The sequence below is a fragment of the Homo sapiens genome, chromosome 13, assembly GCF_000001405.40.
Source record: "Homo sapiens chromosome 13, GRCh38.p14 Primary Assembly".
NCBI lineage: Eukaryota > Metazoa > Chordata > Mammalia > Primates > Hominidae > Homo > Homo sapiens.
The window spans coordinates 36209715-36227769 of record NC_000013.11 but is presented as its reverse complement, the minus strand read 5'-3'; the positions used below and the strand labels follow the sequence as shown (position 1 = coordinate 36227769).

The following is an 18055-nucleotide window of genomic DNA, read 5'->3' as shown; positions in this document are numbered from 1 at the left end:
TCTAAAATTGATTGCAGTGACAGTTGCACAACTCTGTGAAACTAATGAAAACTATTGTATACTCTAAGTGGGTTAATTGTATGTTTTGTGATTTATACCTCAGTAAAGTTGTTGTAAAAATGTTAAATATACATTAACATTTTAATATTAGTAGATAAATGTTAATGAAATATTATTTGATCTTTCTCAATAATATGATCCTAAAAATACAAAAGTGCATCATCACTAGTGCTATCACTGGGTATAGAGCTTTTATTTATTTATTTATTTTTGTGTATATGTGTGTGTGTGTGTAAAAATACAATAAACTGGTTGGAATATCTGCTTTATTAGCATATTTGTACCTTCGCTGTCCTTATTCATGTTCTATTCACATCTCTTCAAACAGCCTCCTCTTAAAAGAAGAATTGGACCCTTTAAAGGTCAGCTGCTTGGAGACATTGGGTTTCAGTGCTGCAGGTGTGGCTGGACCAGAGAATAGGACATGCCTCGGACAAAAAGCACTCTGGCCCGCCTGCTTACATGGGTCCTCAACCTTGGCTGTGTGTCAGACTCACCTGAAGAGCTAAAAGTAAAATACTCAGACATGTGCACCACCCCCAGGATTGTGATCTCACATGTATTTCTTTAAGCCTCCCCCAGGAAATTGTACAGAAAAGATTGGGACCCACTCTGCTGGTTTAGTGTGGCTTCATCTCTCAAACTGAATGAAACTTCTTCCAACTCTCCTCGAGCTGACTTCACCTTGGTCTTTTTATTTTTACTTTTTTACAGTGAGAGATAAGGATTTTATTTTTTCTTCGTTGTTATTTATTTCAATTTTTATTTTAGATTCAGAGGTACCTGTGCAGGTTTGCTATCGTGGTATATTGTATAATGCTGAGATTTGGGGCACAAATAATCCCATCACCCAGGGACTGAGCATAGTAGCCGAAAGTTATTTGTCAATGTTTGCTCTCCTTTCTTCCTCCACCCTCTAGTGGTCCCCAGTGTCTATTGTTGCTGTCTTTATGTCCATGAGTACCCAGTGTTTGGCTATCACTTGTAAGCGAGAACATGCAGTATTTGGTTTCCTGCTTCTGTGTTAATTTGCATAGGAAAATGGCCTCCAGCTGCATCCATATTGTTACAAAGGACATGATTTCATTTCTTTTATGACTGTGTAGTATTCCATGGTGTGTATCAGGAGTCCCCAGCCTCTGGCCGTGGACTGTTACCCATCCATGGCCTGTTAGGAATTGGGCTGCCCAGCAGGAGGTGAGCTGCAGGTGAGCAAGCATTACCACCTGAACTCCACCTCCTGTCAGATCAGCAGCAGCATTAAATCCTCATAGGAGCACGAACTCTTGTGAATTGTGCATGTGGAGGATCTAGGTTGCATACTCCTTATGAGACTCTAATGCCAGATGAGAATTTAACTAATGATTAATCTGAAACAGTTTCATCCCAAAACCATCCCCTCCCCAAAATACAGTCCGTGGAAAAATTGTTTTCCATGAAACCAGCCCTTGGTGTCAAAAGGGTTGGGAACTGCTGGTGTATATGTAGCACATTTTCTTTACTCAGTCCACTGTTGATGGGCACCTAGGCTGATTCTGTATCTTTACTATTGTGAATAGTGCTGCGATGAACATGCAAGTGCATCTGTCTTTTTAGTAGAAAGATTTGTGTTTTTTTGGATATATACCCAGTAATAAGATTGCTGGGTCAAATGGTAGTTTTAAGTTCTTTAAGAAATCTTCAGACTGCTTTCCACAGTGGCTGAACTAATTCACATTCCCACCAACAGTGTCTAAGTGTTCCCTTTTCTCCACAGTCTCACCAGCATCTGTTGCTTTTTTACTTTTCAATAATAGCCATTCAGACTGGTGTTAGATGGCATCTTATGGTGGTTTTGATTTGCATTTCTCTGATGATTAGTGATGTAGAGCATTTTTTTCATGTTTGTTGGCCACTTGTATGTCTTCTTTTGATAAGTGTCTGTTCGTGTCTTTTGCCCATTTTTTTTAATGGGGTTATTTTTTGCTTGCTGAGTTGTTTCAGTTTCTTACAGTTTCTGGATATTAGACCTTTGTCAGATGCATAGTTCATGGATATTTTCTCCCATTCTGTAGGTTTTCTGTTTACTCCATCGCTAGTTTCTTTTGCTGTGCATAAGCTCTTTAATTAGGTCCCATTTGTCAGTTTTTGTTTTGGTTGCAATTGCTTTTGCGACTTACTCATAAATTCTTTTGCAAGGCCGACATCCAGAATGGTGTTTCCAGGGGCCAGGCCTAGTAGTTCATGCCTGTAATCCCAACACTTTGGAAGGCCAAGGCATGAGGATTGCTTGAGCCCAGGAGTTTGAGACCAGCCTGGGCAACATAGTGAGACTGCCATCTCTACAAAAAGTAAAAAATTAGCCAGGCATGGTGGTGCATGCCTATGGTCTCAGCTGCTTGGGAGGCTGAGGTGGGAGGATCACTTGAGCCTGGCAAGTCAAGGCTGCAGTGAGCTGTGATCATGCCACTACACTTAAGGCTAGGCAACTGAATGAAACCCTGTCTCAAAAAAAAAAAAAGTGTTTCCTAGGTTTCTTCTAGGATTCTTATAGTTTGAGGGCTTACATTTAAATCTTTAATTCATCTTGAGGTAATTTTTGCATATGGTGAAAGGTAGGGGTCCAGTTTCATCCTTCTGTATATGGCTAGCCAGCTATTCCAGCACCATTTGTTGAATAGGGAGTCCTTTCCTTATTGCCTATTTTTGTTGACTGTTGAAGATCAGATGGCTGTAGGTATGTGGCTTTTTTTTCCTGGGTTCTTTATTCTGTTCCATTGGTCTCTGTGTCTGTTTTTGTGCCAGTACCATGCTGTTTTGATTACTGTAGCTTTACAGTATAGTTTGAAGTCTGGTAATGTGTTGCCACTGGCTTTTTCCTTTTTGATTAAGATTGCTCTGGCTATTCGGGCTCCTTTTTACTTCCACATGAATTTTAGAATAGTTTTTCTAGTTCTGTGAAAAATGATGTTAGTAGTTTGATAGGAATAGCATTGAATCTGTAGATTGCTTTGGGCAGTATGACTATTTTAACAATATTGATTCTTCCACCCCATGAATATGGAATGTTTTACCATTTGTTTATGTTGTCTGATTTCTTTTGGTGGTGTTTTATAGTTCTCCTTATAGAGATCTTTCACCTCCTTGGTTAGATATATTCCTAGGGGTTTTTGTGTATGTCTTTGTGTATGTGGCTATTGTAGATTGGATTGCATTCTCGATTTGGCTCTTAGCTTGAATGTTGTTGGTGTATAGAAATGTTATTGATTTTTTGTACATTGATTTTGTATCCTGAAACTTTACCGAAGTTGTTTATCAATTCCAGGACCCTTTTGGCAGAGTCTGTAGGGTTTTCTATGTATAGGGTCATATTATCCTTGAAGAGAGATAGTTTGAATTCTTTTCATATGTAGATGCCTTTTTTTTTTCTTTCTCTTGTCTGATTGCTCTGGCTAGCACTTCCAGTACTATGTTGAATAGAAAATAGCTATTTTGGGGAGAATTTTCCAACCAAGATGTCAAAACAATAATGATGAGAGCATTACATGCTAATTCCCAATATTTTCCTTTGACTTATTTAAATTTAAATAATCCAATTTTTTTACTTAATGACCTTGTGGAGATATTTATAAAACACCTTTTGATTTTTGACTGGGGCTGGATTTTTAAAAAATTTATAAAGAGCTATATAGTATTGATTTCAAATAAATTATTCCTACCTTTTCTTCATCTGAATTAGTTTTAGCATGTATAGGAGATTCCAAAGCAGAGTTACCTATATCAATTTTAGTACTATTATTTTCATATTCTACTGGATAAGAAATTACTTATTTGGAACTAAGAATTATTCTTGCAACAGAAGCTTATCAGTAACACTATTTGATTGCTTTTTGCTGTGTGCACAGGTGAGGACCTGTCTAGACTTCTATACTATGTACATTGTATTAATTTTGTTCATAAATTAGGTAATTGAGTTATAGATACTAATTTAATATTTAAAAAATTTAGATTGTTGATTTTAAATATCAGAATAACCAAACTGTAACAACAGTGCTGGGATTTTGGTATTTAAAAAGGGCAGAGTATACCAGAATATTGAAAACTGGTATTGAAATCACTACATATAATTGAATTATGAAAAAGTACCTTTAAGATAATAAAGCACTACATAAATATGAGCTCATATCATATATTTGACAGTAGGGCATTATTTTTACAGGTTAACATTCAATTAATCTGACTATGAATTAGAAAAATCTTGAATTTGTAGAGTTCATTTAACTTTATTAAAGCAATTTGCCAACTCAGCTACAGAAATACAGAAAATATTACTATCTGGAGAACTACCCAGTCGTAAGTTTATCATCGTTGAAATTGCTTAAGCAGAGATTAGGTGACCATTCCTCAGGAATAGTATACGAAGGATTCCTGCAGTGGTGGAGGTGTGTATTTGATTGCTGTCAGTGTGCCTTCTGATACTAACATTCTGTAATTCCCTGCTCATTTATCACACAACAAAACATGAGACAAAAATAACTCCATAAAATATATGTTGATTATACCATATAGGTTGTATACATATAGACTATAAATATGAGCTTTCAAAAACGTTTTGCCATTAGCTAATAACTAACAAAATCAGTTTTATTAGGGTGGTTTTGTGTTTATATTGCATGGTGTTCAATGAGCTTATATCTGTAGTTTTCATCAAATGTGGAAAATTTTGGGCCATTTTTGTATTATTTTTCTGCCCTTTCCTGTCCTCCTGGGACTTTAATTACAGCCTGTTGTAAACCACTTGATATTGTTCCTTTTGGTTCTTTTTTTATATCTTCTGTCACTGTATTTATGTTTTCCTTTAAGTAATTGGATAGGCATATAATGACTTTTAGCATACTTACACAGTATCTTTTTCATTTCTCAGTCTGTTTCTGGTGACTGATTTTTCTCCTGGTTTCGGGTTTCATTTTCTGCTTCTTGTAATATCTACTAATTTTATATTAGATGCCAGGCATTGATGATTTCACATTGTTGGTTATAGATTTATTCTTATAGGCAGTTAAATTAATTGCAGTTCAGTTTCTTCTTTTCAAGCCTTTGTTAGGGTAAGTATAGAGTGAGCTTCACCCCACAGAGAGTTTAACACCATTTCTAAGGCATAGCTATTGTGGGATCACTAGAAAATTCTGTGAGTGATCAGCTGGGACACTCAACACTGGCTAGTTGGACCTCAGATGCCTCACAGGCCTGTGTGGCACTCTGCTTGACCTCGTAGAGTTTTGCTCTAGGCTTACATGTCTTAATATCCAGCCACCTCTCAAGGGGCTCCTATGCAGATTTCTGGAATTCTGTTTTTACATATCTGTTAGCTCTCTGGTACTCTGCTCTGCAACTTCAGCCACTTCAGCCTCCCTGAACTCCAGCCTCTGTCTTCTCAACTACATGAAACCACCATGCTTTGTTTGGGATCCCCTACCCTGCTCTGAGGTCTGTGCCTGCAGGTAGAAATCTAGAATGATGGATGGGCCTCACTTCATTCCTCTCAGGGGTCATAGTCTTAAGGTGCATGTCAATATCTGCAGTTGTTTCATATATTTTTGACTAATTTTCTGTTTCTTCACAGTAAGAAGCTAAATCTTTCCCCTGTTACTCTCAAAGCCAGAAGTAAAGGATAAAGCATTAAAATAAAAGCAAAGAAAATATTTTAAAATCTAATATAAAAATCCATTTTGCTATGCATCTGTAACTTTTTTTTATGTTATCACCTAAATATATTTTTCTCACCTTAATCAATGAAATTTGCACTGGATAAAATGACTGGATGGGGCTTTGTCTTACCTTGGCAAGGAGGTAAGTATATTCTGGGAAGAAAGAGCAAAAGCTATTTATTTGGTGATCAAATTGATGGACTGTGGCAAAAACTGTTGCTATGCACTCACCAAACTGTTTTCTTTTTCTATGGGACACAGAACTAGGCTTTTTCTATGGGACACAGAACTAGGCTACACATACATAACAAAGTGTATGTGTTAAACACTTTGTTTGCCAGTGTGTGATGATGCACACATACTTCTTTGCTTAGTGATATATGCATGAAACACTGTTTGGTAGTGTGTGGTATGTATGCTACTGTGTTTAGAGATAGGCGTGTGAAACACTGTGTGCACTTAGGTGTGACCCTGCGACTGACTTCAGGCCAATATAACCTAGACATAAGTGATACATGTCGTTTCTGTGACTAGCCCATTAAAACGTCCCAGGTGATCCTTCTTGTTTGTGCTTTTTCTTTAAAAAAAAATTGTGTTATGGGTGGATATAGAGGGTCTAAAAGCAAATTCCAAGGCCTCAGGGATAGCAGATCCACAAGGTAGAAGAAAATTGGGTCCCCGAATCACTTCATGTAGCACATCCATTCCTCTCACTTTGTTAATCCTCATTTGGTTTTTATGTGAGAGAAAAGGAAATCCTTTTGTATGTTTCTGTGTGTATTAAGACACTGAGATTTAGGTTTTACTGGTTGAAGCAGTCAGCCTATGCTCACTTGTATCAAACAATATTTTTAGTAAGACTTACAGGTATTTAGGTTTTCTTCAGTAGATAATATCTTTCTTGGCAACTACATGAGAGAGAAATTGAGCTATTCATTGATGGTGATGGCTCCTGGCCTGCTGCATCACTGAATCAGGTTCTTGAATCTCAATTGGTATTTTAAAATTGATTCTAACTTGGTATATTTTCAAGTCTGCTGAACATAACTAAAACAATGATTTTTTTTAACTAAACAATCTTTTTGCATTTCCATCAATGTCTTTCTAGGATGCTGTTCTTTCAAGCCTTAGTACAAATACTGTAAAATCTGATAGGCAAATACTTGCTGGGCCCAAACAACTGTGGAATGTAGCAGTCAGTGTGTGAGCATGGAAGGATGCCCATAATAACCTTTGCTCAGATGAGGAAGAACGCACAGCATCACTCATCCACAGCATTTATAAAATCCCATTGGGAAGATATGGTGAAAGCCCTCTTCACTGGGAATGGGGTCGGTTCCTTTCTTGGGCTCTGACTCTGCTCTTGGGAGGAATGTTCTTGTCCATTTTTTCTTAGTAGCCACTGGCTCCAGTCCGTGGGAGTTTCTTCCTTTTTCATCTTCTTGCCCACATTCGAAGTGGATGATGAGGTTATGCCCTCTATTGGGGATGCATAGCTTTCAGAGCTCATAATCTGTTTGAACAAAATTGGGTGTCTAAAGCTGATTTTACAGTTCAAAGGCTTTTTAGTCCTAGTTTATATAAATTCCATCAAAATAGTAGCCAGTTCTATGTATAATATAATTTCAGAGCATGATTTGTTTCTTTGGCCCATACCTCTCTCTGCCTAATGGCAGCTACCATGCAGGTTATTTAACTAATTGATTAAGGTGATGTGAAGTTAACACCTATCCATAATCTGATCCTTGCCACAAGGCTGAGTATTAGTGGCCTTTTGTGGCTTGACTTTTCTCAGCCTTATCTCTTTCTTTTTGGGACCTAGAAATAGTTGGCCTTTCCAACTCTTTAATGCCCTTCAATGCCCCAAATTTCTAGATTCTTTCCTAGACTCTCTCTATTCCCTTTTATTTCTCCTTACAAACTAGTTAGCTATATTGCAAGCTCATCAATTTATTCTCTCTTACCAAAGGCAGCCAGTAACATTTAGTACACATTTAGTAGTCCATTCTCATGCTGCTAATAAAGACATACCTGAGACTGGGTAATTTATAAAGGAAAGAGGTTTAATTGACTCACAGTTCCAGCATGGCTGGGGAGGCCTCTGAAAACTTAAAATCATGGCAGAAGGGGAAGCAAACACGTCCTTCTTCACATGGCAGCAAGAAAGAAAAGTGCCAAGCAAAAGTGGGAAAAGCCCCTTATATAACTGTCAGTTCTTATGAGAACTCACTCACTCTTATCATGAGAACAGCAGCATGGGGGTAACCTCCAATATGATTCATTTACTCCCCACTAGGTCCCTCCCAGACATGTGGGGATTATGGGAACTACAATTCAAGATGAGATTTGGGTAGGGACATAGCCAAACCATATCAACACATTATTATTCGTTGTTTTCCCAACATCCTTCCTTTGACCTACAGTCTTAGTAAGCACTTGGTCTGCTATGGCATAACAGGGATCCCAGGCTTCCAACCTCCCATATTTCTTTCTGTGCCTCTCACTGCAGACCTGCTAAGTTAATGCCACACATATTAGTATTTTGTTTAGGCAGCACCTAAATTCAAGTTATTAATCTCTCTATTATGACTATAAAAAATAACTCAGACTTTAGAGGCTTAACACAAAGATTTCTTTCTCTCACACATCACAATCCATTCTGGCTTCAGCAGTGAAAAGAAGTAAAACTAAATAAATAACAAAATAGTATTTATATCTGGGGAGACAGGGAAATGTGAATGAGAGACACACATAAGGTATTTTAAAATTATTGATAGTGTCTGTTAGGCTGAGTGGTAGGTACATACACATCCATATTATTATACTTTAAATAATACATATGTAATAAATATACTCGGGTATGTATGAAATTTTCAAAATAAAAAAATTAAAATTACTTCAGATAACTTTTTTTTTTTTTTTTGAGACAAGGTCTTGCTCTGTTTCCCAGGATTGAGTGCAGTTGCATGATCATAGCTCACTGCAGCCTCAAATTCCTGGGCTCAGCCTCTCAGGTGTGTGCCACCACACCTAATTTTTTTTTTTTAAAATTTTTGGTAGAAATGATATTTTGCCGTGTTGCCCAGGCTAGTCTTGAACTCCTGGCCTCAAGCATTCCTCCTGGCTCGGACTCCCAAAGTGTTTGGATTACAAGTGTGAGCCACCTATACCAGGCCTCTCAGCTGACTTTTAAACCATATTAGTATACATGAACATATTCACGAGTAAAGTGTGAATGACATTTTTTCCACTCCCGCTTATCCCTCACCTTTACAAACAAGAAGCTTCTCTCCTTGAAGGTGGCCTGACATTTTTGTGCTAAAGAAATTCCTCATGACTTCATACAGCTGCAGTTGGCTGTCACTGTGGCTAAAGGTAAAAGAGTTCATTTGTAACTTTGTGATCTCCTCAGACCATAGAGCTATAACCAATGACTACCATGGGGGGATGCACTCAAAATGAATCAATGTGGGATCGCACAGGCCCACTGTGGACTTTGTGTGACACAGTCCCTCCTCCATGGTTATAGTGTTACTTTGGTTTAGCTCTACATTTCCTAGCAAAGACTTGTGATTAAAATGAGGCAGATTTAGTAGAACTAAATCCGGTTTTAAAAAGTGAACATACTGAATGATGAGAAAACTGTCAAGTCTTATTGCAATCTAACGCAGGGCATCATTAGAAGTTGGCACTATTCTTTGACCTGTGTTACTACCTAAGGGCAGTGGTTCTAAACTCATTGGGAAAAACATGTATTTATTATCACCTTCTGTATGTATACTAAATACTAGGATATGAAATCTAATAAACAGTCTCCGCCTTACCATGCTGCTAAAATCAAGTCATAATTGTTGAGCAGAGGTGTGAGACAGTGTTAGTCTATTTAAAGTGCTATAACAAAATACATACTGGGTGGCTTACAAACAACAGAAATTTATTCTCACAGTTCTGGAGGCTGTGAAGTCCAAGATCAAGGCAGCAGCAGATTCAATATCTGGGGAAGGCCCACTTCCTGGTTCATAGATGGCATCTTCTCACTGTGTCCTCACGTGGTAGAAGGGGTGAGGGATCTCTCGCGGGCTTCTTTTACAAGGGCACTAATCCAGTTTATGAGGGCTCCTCCCCCATGACCTATTACCTTCCAAAGATCCCACCTCTTAATACTATTACCTGGGGGCTAGATTTCAAATATGAATTTTGGGGGGACATCAATATTAAATCTTTAGCAGATGGAATTAGTACTACTTTGAAAATTTTTCGTTGTCTTCTCAGACTAACCACAGAACAAAAGTGTGAGTCAGCCTGTTGTGTGGGAGAAACCCAAGCAAGCACAAGTATAACATTCAGGGGTAAGCAGGTGTGCTAAACCTCAGACAACGCAGGTGTCAGAACTGTGCTTTCAGGTTAGGAGGACTGAGGGAGAGGCAGAAAGAAGGCATGCACGCAGCAGAAGTGGAAGCCTCTTTGATGCAGGGATAATGGGACAGGAAATGTTTTTCAGGCAGAGCTCAGAATCAAATAAGTGAATTAGCAGCTGGGAAGGATCAGAACCTAGATTCAGGGCAGTTCCCAAACCAATAAACTGTGCTTACACTGTTGTGATGGCAAGTGCTATTCTTTAAGGCAGCTTGGGGCTCCTCTAGGCTTCAGATGACTTATCCTATCAATACTACAATTCCAAAGAAAGAAGTTACTCTATCTGCTTGTGCAAATCTTATACTGGGGACTCTTGGGGGGACCTCAGGACACTATTAGGGAATAGAAACTAATCTAGTCACTTGATTTGAAGGTAAGTCTAGAAAGCCAGAATGGGACAAGGTAATGTGGCCCTAATGCCACACAGAGGAATGGGACTTAATTGTAATAAGCAGAGAAACCCTTGTACGTTTTCAAATAGGGAAAGGACACGATTAAAACTGACCTTTCCTTTTCCCCATGCAACCAGCAACACAATTTACACCAGTTCTGGCTTTGAAATACTGAGTTTGCCATTTTGGTGTGTGTAATATTTCTTCCTTTCCTCCAAACGTCATCTTTTCCTTTCCACTACACAAGATTCAAGAATGTGAAAGATGCCAAAGAAATTAAATGGCTTACACTCTATGTTATAATTTGGAGGGGTTATATTAATAGTAGGGTTTCTCAACCTCAGCACGAATGCCATTTTGGGCCACATAATTCTCTGTTGTAGAGCGCTGTCCTGGGCATTGTAGGATGTTTAGCAGCGTCCCTGAACTCTACTGGCTAGAAGCTAGTGCACCACCAGTGATGATAATGAAAAACGTCTTCAGGCATTGCCAAATGTCCCTTGGAGGGCAAAATCTTCCCTGGGAAGAGATGTTGTTTTAGAGTAGATGTCTGTTCATTTACAAAGAAAGTTTTTTGTTTGTTTGTTTGTTTGTTTTTGCGAGACAGGGTCTCCCTCTGTTCCCCAGCCTGGAGAGCAGTGGTGTAATCACAGATCATTGCAGCCTCAAACTCCCAAGCTCAGGCAATCCTCGCACCACAGCCTCTGGAGTAGCTGGGACCACAAGTGTGTGCCACCACGCCAGGCTAATTTTTTTTAGTTTTTGTAGAGACAGGGGTGTCCTGGCTCTCAGGAACTAGTGACCTCAAGTGATCTCACCTCGGCCTCCCAAAGTGCTGGAATTATGGACACGAGCCACCACTACACCTGACCTTTTTTTTTTTTTTTTTTTTTTTTTTAAAGGAGATTGGAAACAAAAATATCTAAGTTAGTTCTTAGGAAGCTTGGACTCATATTCTAGATACAGGAGAAGTTTATTATCTTTTTTTTCTTCCTTCAACACAGTAGTGATGACTTCCTCTCACATAATCTTAGGGGCTTTTTTTTTTACTTAAAAGCAAATGAGTCCGTTTCTCTTTCAACATTGTCTTTGTCTATTAGAGTTAGACTTGCTAGTCTAGACCTCTGGAGCAATGGAAATCTGGTGCTTGCGCATTCAGGACGAAATGCTCAAAGCTGCCTCAATTCACACCCTACACCAATGCCTGGGAAGGACTTCACCTCTGTCTTACATTGGTGAGCAAACCACTTCCCGCACAGATATTGATGTGGATACTGTCAGTTCCTGATTAATTGGAAAAGCAATAGAAGTGAAATTTATTACACTCTATTAAGACGTGTACACTTCCAAAAGTAATGCAGAATGATCCCATCAGAAGTTCATCTGCTCCTTTTCTTCCCATCAGAACTGTAGAGTATCACAGCTGTATTTTTGCATGCCCCCGGGATCTAAATCGGACCCCCAGGACACAGCACCAGCTGCTCAGGAACCAGGAGACTTGCCCAGGGACCGCCTGCAGAGATGGTTCCCCGGAGAGCTCCTCTGTGTTATATGCTCTAGTGAGATCCAGAGTCTGCAGTCATCCACAATAACCACCACACTTACAGCAGTGAAAAATCATGGCACAGTAGTCAAGACACATCCGAGGAAGGATCCTCCGCGGGTCTGACGCCCAATAGGTCTCAGTAAAATGTTCAGTGAAGGTTGAGTAGAGGAGTTTACATAGCAGCAGTCACGAGAAAATTTTATCGCCTCATTGTTTCCGTTGAGAAAATAGGGACAGTATTTGTTAAATCACGGCACAAAAATGAAGTGTTTCTAATATTTTTAATTTTTTTTTTTGAGACGAAATCACGCCCCGTCGCCCAGGCTGGAGTGCAGTGGGCGATCTTGGCTCACTGCAACCTCCGCCTTCCGGGTTCAAGCGATTCTTGTGCCTCAGCCTCCCAGATAGCTGGGATTACAGGCTCCCATCACCATGCCTGGCTAATTTTTGTATTTTTAGTAGAGACGGGTTTTCACCATGTTGGCTTGGCTGGTCTCGAACTCCTGAGCTCAAGTGATCCACCCGCCTTGGCCTCCCAAAGTGCTAGGATTAACAGGCGTGAGCCACCGCGCCCGGCCTAACATTTTAAATTTCTTAGTGGTTTGGAAAGAAATCACCATAGAAGTACTCGCCTTTCCTATCCTCTGTTTATGTTTGTTTAGAAAAGAGCAAAACAAACCCAAGTGTTTGCTAATTCCTAACATTTAAACTGGAAAGACTGCCCGTAAGAAAAGACTTCTTAAAATTTTTAGACCATCTTGAGATGACGCCTTGCCTCCCGCCTCCCCAGGCGGCGCAGTGGGAGTGAGTACGCGGGGCTTAGTGTCGTGAGAGCTGCCCTGGGAAGGGGACTTGGAGTGCGCAGTCAGCTAGTGACGCGGTCTCCTAAGGGCCCCCAGGACAGCTTGAGTAGCCCCCGCGGGCAGGCCCCCGACCCGGGTTCCGCGTTGACCCCTCAGAGCGGCCTGCTGCTCCCCCACGCGCCAGAACTGGCGACAGGGCCACTTTAAGGGCGCCTGGGGCGTGCTCGCCCTCAGCTGCGGCCAGGAGCCATTAGTGCAGGGGGCGGGCCCGGGACGCAGCGGCTGTGGAGCTCCTCCTGCTGGGAGGCTGCCCCAGGACCCAGCACGTGCGCAGCGGCCATGGCTTCCTCAATTATCTGCCAGGAGCACTGCCAGATCTCGGGCCAGGTAAGAGGCTGTGGAAGGGGAGGCAGCTGCGTTTATAACCTCGCGGGCGGGCCCTAGGTCGGTGGTCCCCTCGGCCCTCAAAGCCCGGCCTGGGGAGCTCTCATTGTCGGGGAACTGTGGGGAGCGAATAGCAGGAAGGGCCCCTTCCAGGACGCGAGTCCACTCTCCCCCGGCGCCCCGAGCTGGGGAAGCGCCGACCCGGCTTCTGAGGGTGCCCCCGGGTGCCACCAGGCCCTTGGGGCCTGAGGTTGGGGGACGGGGCTGATTTATCTCGGGAGAGGAGGCCAAGGAAGAAAGAGAACTGAATCGTGTTATAAAGAAAACCCATTAACTGATGAAATGTTCAGTGAAAATTATCTTGAATCCAAAAATTGCAGATTGCATCACATCAATTACTCAATAAATGTGAATTCTCCAACTAAAAAAAAAAAAAAAAAATCTTAGCCCTTGACGTTTCCCCAACTTATTTTTCGAGCAGAAGGCCACTTGTGAAGTTAGCTACCTAGAAACACAATTTAGTAGGCACTCTGGGGCTGGTGGCTGGACAAAAATGTGAACGATGATTTTTATTTTTAATATAAGAAAGTTTATTTAGGCGCGTTATTTTCCTGCATTCCCGTCTCTGCACAGCTGGGCATGCTTATTTTCAGTTTGGGCACTGGCGTGGCATCCCAAAGTGTCCTTCGTGGAGCTTCCCCCCAAACAGGCAACTTTGTGTGGAACCAAAGCCGTGGTGGGAACGGGACCTGCTCTGCACGCATTTGCCACCTCCATGGAAATCAAAAAGCCCGCTGGCCTCTCTTGAAAGCACCTTATTTTTCAGCCCCTTTAGCAAAGCACAAAATCACTTTTGTAACTGTTTTCGATAAAAGTGAAAGGTGATGATTACCCCACTAGGAGGAAAGCGTAGGCGAAACCTCCCCACGCCAGAAAGCAAGGCCAGCTGGGGAGGGGGGCTTTCATCTTAGTATTTTCCGCATCTTGATAAATAGGAGAGAGCAATCTTTTGTGCTGAGTGTAGTCTTATTACCTCTTAGAATGCTCTGCAAACTTAATTTCATCTCTTCTTAAGAGCAAGCTTTCTGAAATGGAATTAGGATCACTTTGAAGTGGACCCGTTTAACAGGTTTTCTTAATTTTTCAAGATAGAGGAACCTATTTAAACTCTAAGGAAAAATAGTATTTTATGGTGCAGGATTAGGCAAAGCTGCACAAAATGAATTCTGAATGAAATATCTGATTATCTAGTAGAACATAAATAATTGTGGTTTCCTCCCCTTAAGAGAGTGTGAAGCCCCAACTGACCCCTTTGTGTGCCTTTGTGAGAAAAGCCGCTTGCTCAGTTTCTCCAGATAGAGCTGTTTAAATCCCTTGACTCCTGAGGAAACTGAAGGCCCGCAATTGCCCCATGAGAGCCTCAGCCCTGCAGCTGCTGCTGATTGTGGGCTGCTCTGCTCCTGGTGATAAGAGTGACATAAATAACAACTCACTAAAATGTAGGAGTGATTTGCTTTAAGCACTTCAGCACCTGCTGTTACTAATTAAGGGTTTAGCCTGCCACAGATTGCAAATGGAAATCCAGTGTTTTAAAAATTGTAGAGACTAGAGTGCCCTGCATGTTACTGTGATCACAGAAATGAAACAGTGGATGAAGTGTCTTGGTGACAATGATGTCGTGTTATTAAAACCACCCACACTTAAAGGGTATGTACCAAGGTGTTAATAGGGCTTACCCTGAGTGGTGGAATTACACTTTATTTTCTTTTTTGAATTTTTTAGTGTTTCCCAGTGAATACATGTTACTTTCGTTTACAAAGGTGTAGTAAGCAATTCAAACAGAAAAAGATATTTCATCAAACGAAGCCTAACACTGGTTCAGATTACTGCTTGCAGGTGAAAATCTTAGATGTACTAAAAGGCAGTTTTCCAAGCAGAATATACTAGAAACATTTATTCCTTTTTCTTTTTGTCAATAGATCTTTTTTATCGCCTGTGTTCATATTACATTGTCAACAACATATTTTAAACTAAATAAATATTCAGATTTATGTTGATTATAAACTATTCTGTTAATTTGAGTTATGGAACTGGGATAGTGGACTTGAGCAGTGTTCTGATTTGTCCATTAACATTCCAAGTGTGCTATGGCACTGATTTTGTAAAGCAGAGAAAGAAGCATTTGGCAAAAGAGCAAATCAGTTCTTTCCAGAGCTGCTTTATGTCATACCCGCTCTGTGCCATGGTGCAAGATGCTATGCAAAAACTTCAGACTCCTGCACAGAACGGTGGGTTAGTGGTGCTTGTTTCTCCTCATCCCTTTCCAGATCATCTTCCTACCTACCCTCAGATTTCTCCCGACTTCCCACTATGCATGTTCTGCCCTTCATAACTCTTTCTTGACTTTTTTTCCCCCCAAAAGGCCGAGAGATTCTGGGGACACTGGAACTGAGCCTCTAAGGGGAGGATAGTGCAGTCAGAATGCCATGTGCTAGCTAGGGAAAGGCTCAAGCTAGGCAGTTGATTTCTATTATTTTAAAGCTTATGCTCTGCAGGAGGCCCTGTTTCCTGAGCACTGTGATTCAAACAGTGCAGAGCCCAGCATGGACACATTTTCCTCTCTCCCCTGGTCCTTCCCCTGCTAGGTTGATTTGACGTTTTCTGTGTTCTTTGTGCTCAGTTCGGTATTACTTGCAAAAACATGGCAATAACTACCACCTGCAGGGCACTATACAAACACTTCTCATAACATTCTTGCAACGTAAGCATTTTGATCCTTCAGACGAGGGTCACTTAAGTGTCTTATTCAAAGCCACTGGTAAATAGTTGAACTAAGTGACAGGACTGTGGTCTGTCTGCCTCAAATGGCTTTGCTCCCTTCCCACTGCATCAAGCTGTTGAAAAAAGATAACACCCTTAGTAGAACTGGTCATACTCTATTCTTCCTATATTCCAAGGATTGAATGCCATGCTTTCTTATCAGCAGAGAAAAGGGCTATTAGAATGTAAGCCCCATGAGGGCAAGGACCTTGTCTTGTTTGTTCACCTTGTGCTCCTAGCGCCCAGCCCTGTGTCTGCCCTATAGTAAGGGCTCAATAAATATCTATGGAGAGAATAAACATCAAGCATATTTAAGCAGAGACATAAAGTGGCAGGATATTTTAAAAGAAAAAATAAACCTTACTAATAGAAAGTTTTACAAACTATATCCCAGGACACCCTAGTTTATATGTGTTATTTTAGTGTAATTATTAATGGCACCTCCTTTCATTCTCAAAAGAGCCTCAGTTTGGAAGATCAATTATATGGCCATACACCCTGATCGTATTAGATAGGTTATTTTTGGGCATTCATATTCGCTTCAATTAATCAGGTTAATTAAAAAACAAAACTATAATTGCTCCTGTTGTGATCACTTGTTAATGACTGTTTCATTGTTTGGCTTTGGGTTCACAAAGAATATATTTGCATAGAAGAAATCACATGCTATGGTGGAGATTCGCAAACAATCTGCGCTCACAGGCATCACAAAGGCTTAGAGTCCCATGCTGCTCCTAAAGTGCTGCTGGAAATGAGGAGTGTTTATAAAATGAAAAGGAAACACACTAGTAGGGCCCCAACGCTCTCTACTGTAGAAATTACATATTTCAAAGCTCATTTAAAAGTGTTGTGCTGTGTTCTTGGAATATAGAGTATTGAGGGAAGTAGAAGGAAATAAGTTTGAAGTAGGTTGGTAGCAGGCTATGAAACACCATGCTAAGGAGTTTAAATTGGTATCCTGTTTAGAGTAGGGTACTGCAGGTGAAGGAGATTGGCTCATGATGATTGAGCACACAGGTCAACCTCCCCATCTACCCCAAACTCCAGAGCAGATGTTTTCAAAATGTGATGATTCCTTCAAGTAAATATCATGGAAAAATAAGAAGGCAGGTATTCCAAATTAAAAGATCAAGGAGATACAACAACCAAATGCAATGCATAGTTCTTAATGGGATCTTGGTTTGAACAAAGCAACTTCTCTCTGAACGTTAAAAAAAAAAATACACAGTAAAATGTGACATTTAGAAAGCAAATGGGGTCCAATTACACCTAAAACAAAAGTAGAAAATCCACAGCTTAAAAGACACAAAGAGAAGAAATGCAGTGATAAAACAATTTTAGTGATAGTCCAGGCTCAATGTTGACAGAAACAAAGATGAAAGTAGCCCAAAGGGTGCTCACCTGGTTTGAATTAGCTGGGTACAGAACTCCCAGGCCAGGTTGGCCCCCTGGATTTACCCTGTGGACTCTCCCAGCTCACTCCTACTAAAGCAGGAGCAATGGTGCCTTTAACTTAAGGATAAAACTCAGGAACTATTCTCTAAAGAAAATGAACTATACATGAGATGAGGACTCCTGGTATGAGTAATTTCCCGATCTCTGTAACTGAAAGAGGAAAGGAAAGGCAGTTCTTTCCAGGAGGAAAATAAACTAACATACTTGGTCTTCAGAGTAGAGCCCACCTTGATTTTGACAATTAGCTGGCGCCAGCCTTTCTGCTCTCCAGCCTTTGCTTTCACTCATCCTGCTCACTCTCACCAAACCCATAGTCAGTTGTCCCATTAAAGGAGGCCCCCACTGAGGAAACACCACCTCAGCTGCAGGAGAAACTGCCTGTTCACACCCACTTAGTTCTTGATTCATATTTATGTTTGGAAACAAAGGATTGACAGACATTAACAGAACTAGACGAATGCACACACTGAACGATTGAAGAGACAGATTTTT

General features: G+C 40.7%; 3 protein-coding genes across 7 annotated transcripts in view, besides 1 other annotated feature; all 3 read left to right on the top strand.

The window, feature by feature from the left end:
• Positions 1 to 5766, top strand: part of CCDC169 (coiled-coil domain containing 169) — a 75811-nt gene extending 70045 nt beyond the window's left edge. For all 4 annotated transcript variants that reach the window (NM_001144984.3, NM_001144983.3, NM_001144982.3 and 1 more), the window contains one exon: positions 389 to 5766. In NM_001144984.3, coding sequence (NP_001138456.1) covers positions 389 to 569 — 181 coding nt within the window. In that variant the 3' untranslated portion in view covers positions 570 to 5766. The remainder of the gene's footprint in view (positions 1 to 388) is intronic.
• The window catches only part of CCDC169-SOHLH2 (CCDC169-SOHLH2 readthrough), a 129598-nt gene that overhangs the window by 70045 nt on the left and 41498 nt on the right, over positions 1 to 18055 (top strand). The window contains exon 6 of the mRNA NM_001198910.2: positions 389 to 422. Coding sequence (NP_001185839.1) covers positions 389 to 422 — 34 coding nt within the window. The remainder of the gene's footprint in view (positions 1 to 388; positions 423 to 18055) is intronic.
• SOHLH2 (spermatogenesis and oogenesis specific basic helix-loop-helix 2) overlaps positions 13214 to 18055 on the top strand; it is a 46340-nt gene continuing 41498 nt past the window's right edge. For both annotated transcript variants that reach the window (NM_017826.3, NM_001282147.2), the window contains exon 1: positions 13214 to 13291. In NM_017826.3, the coding sequence (NP_060296.2) occupies positions 13244 to 13291 (48 nt within the window). In that variant the 5' untranslated portion in view covers positions 13214 to 13243. The remainder of the gene's footprint in view (positions 13292 to 18055) is intronic.
• Positions 16252 to 16452: a silencer, noted in NCBI's record as "peak2068 fragment used in MPRA reporter construct". NCBI's record gives its function as "represses an SCP1 promoter by STARR-seq MPRAs in K562 erythroleukemia cells {active_cell/tissue: K562}" and the evidence as "EXISTENCE:reporter gene assay evidence [ECO:0000049][PMID:32103011]".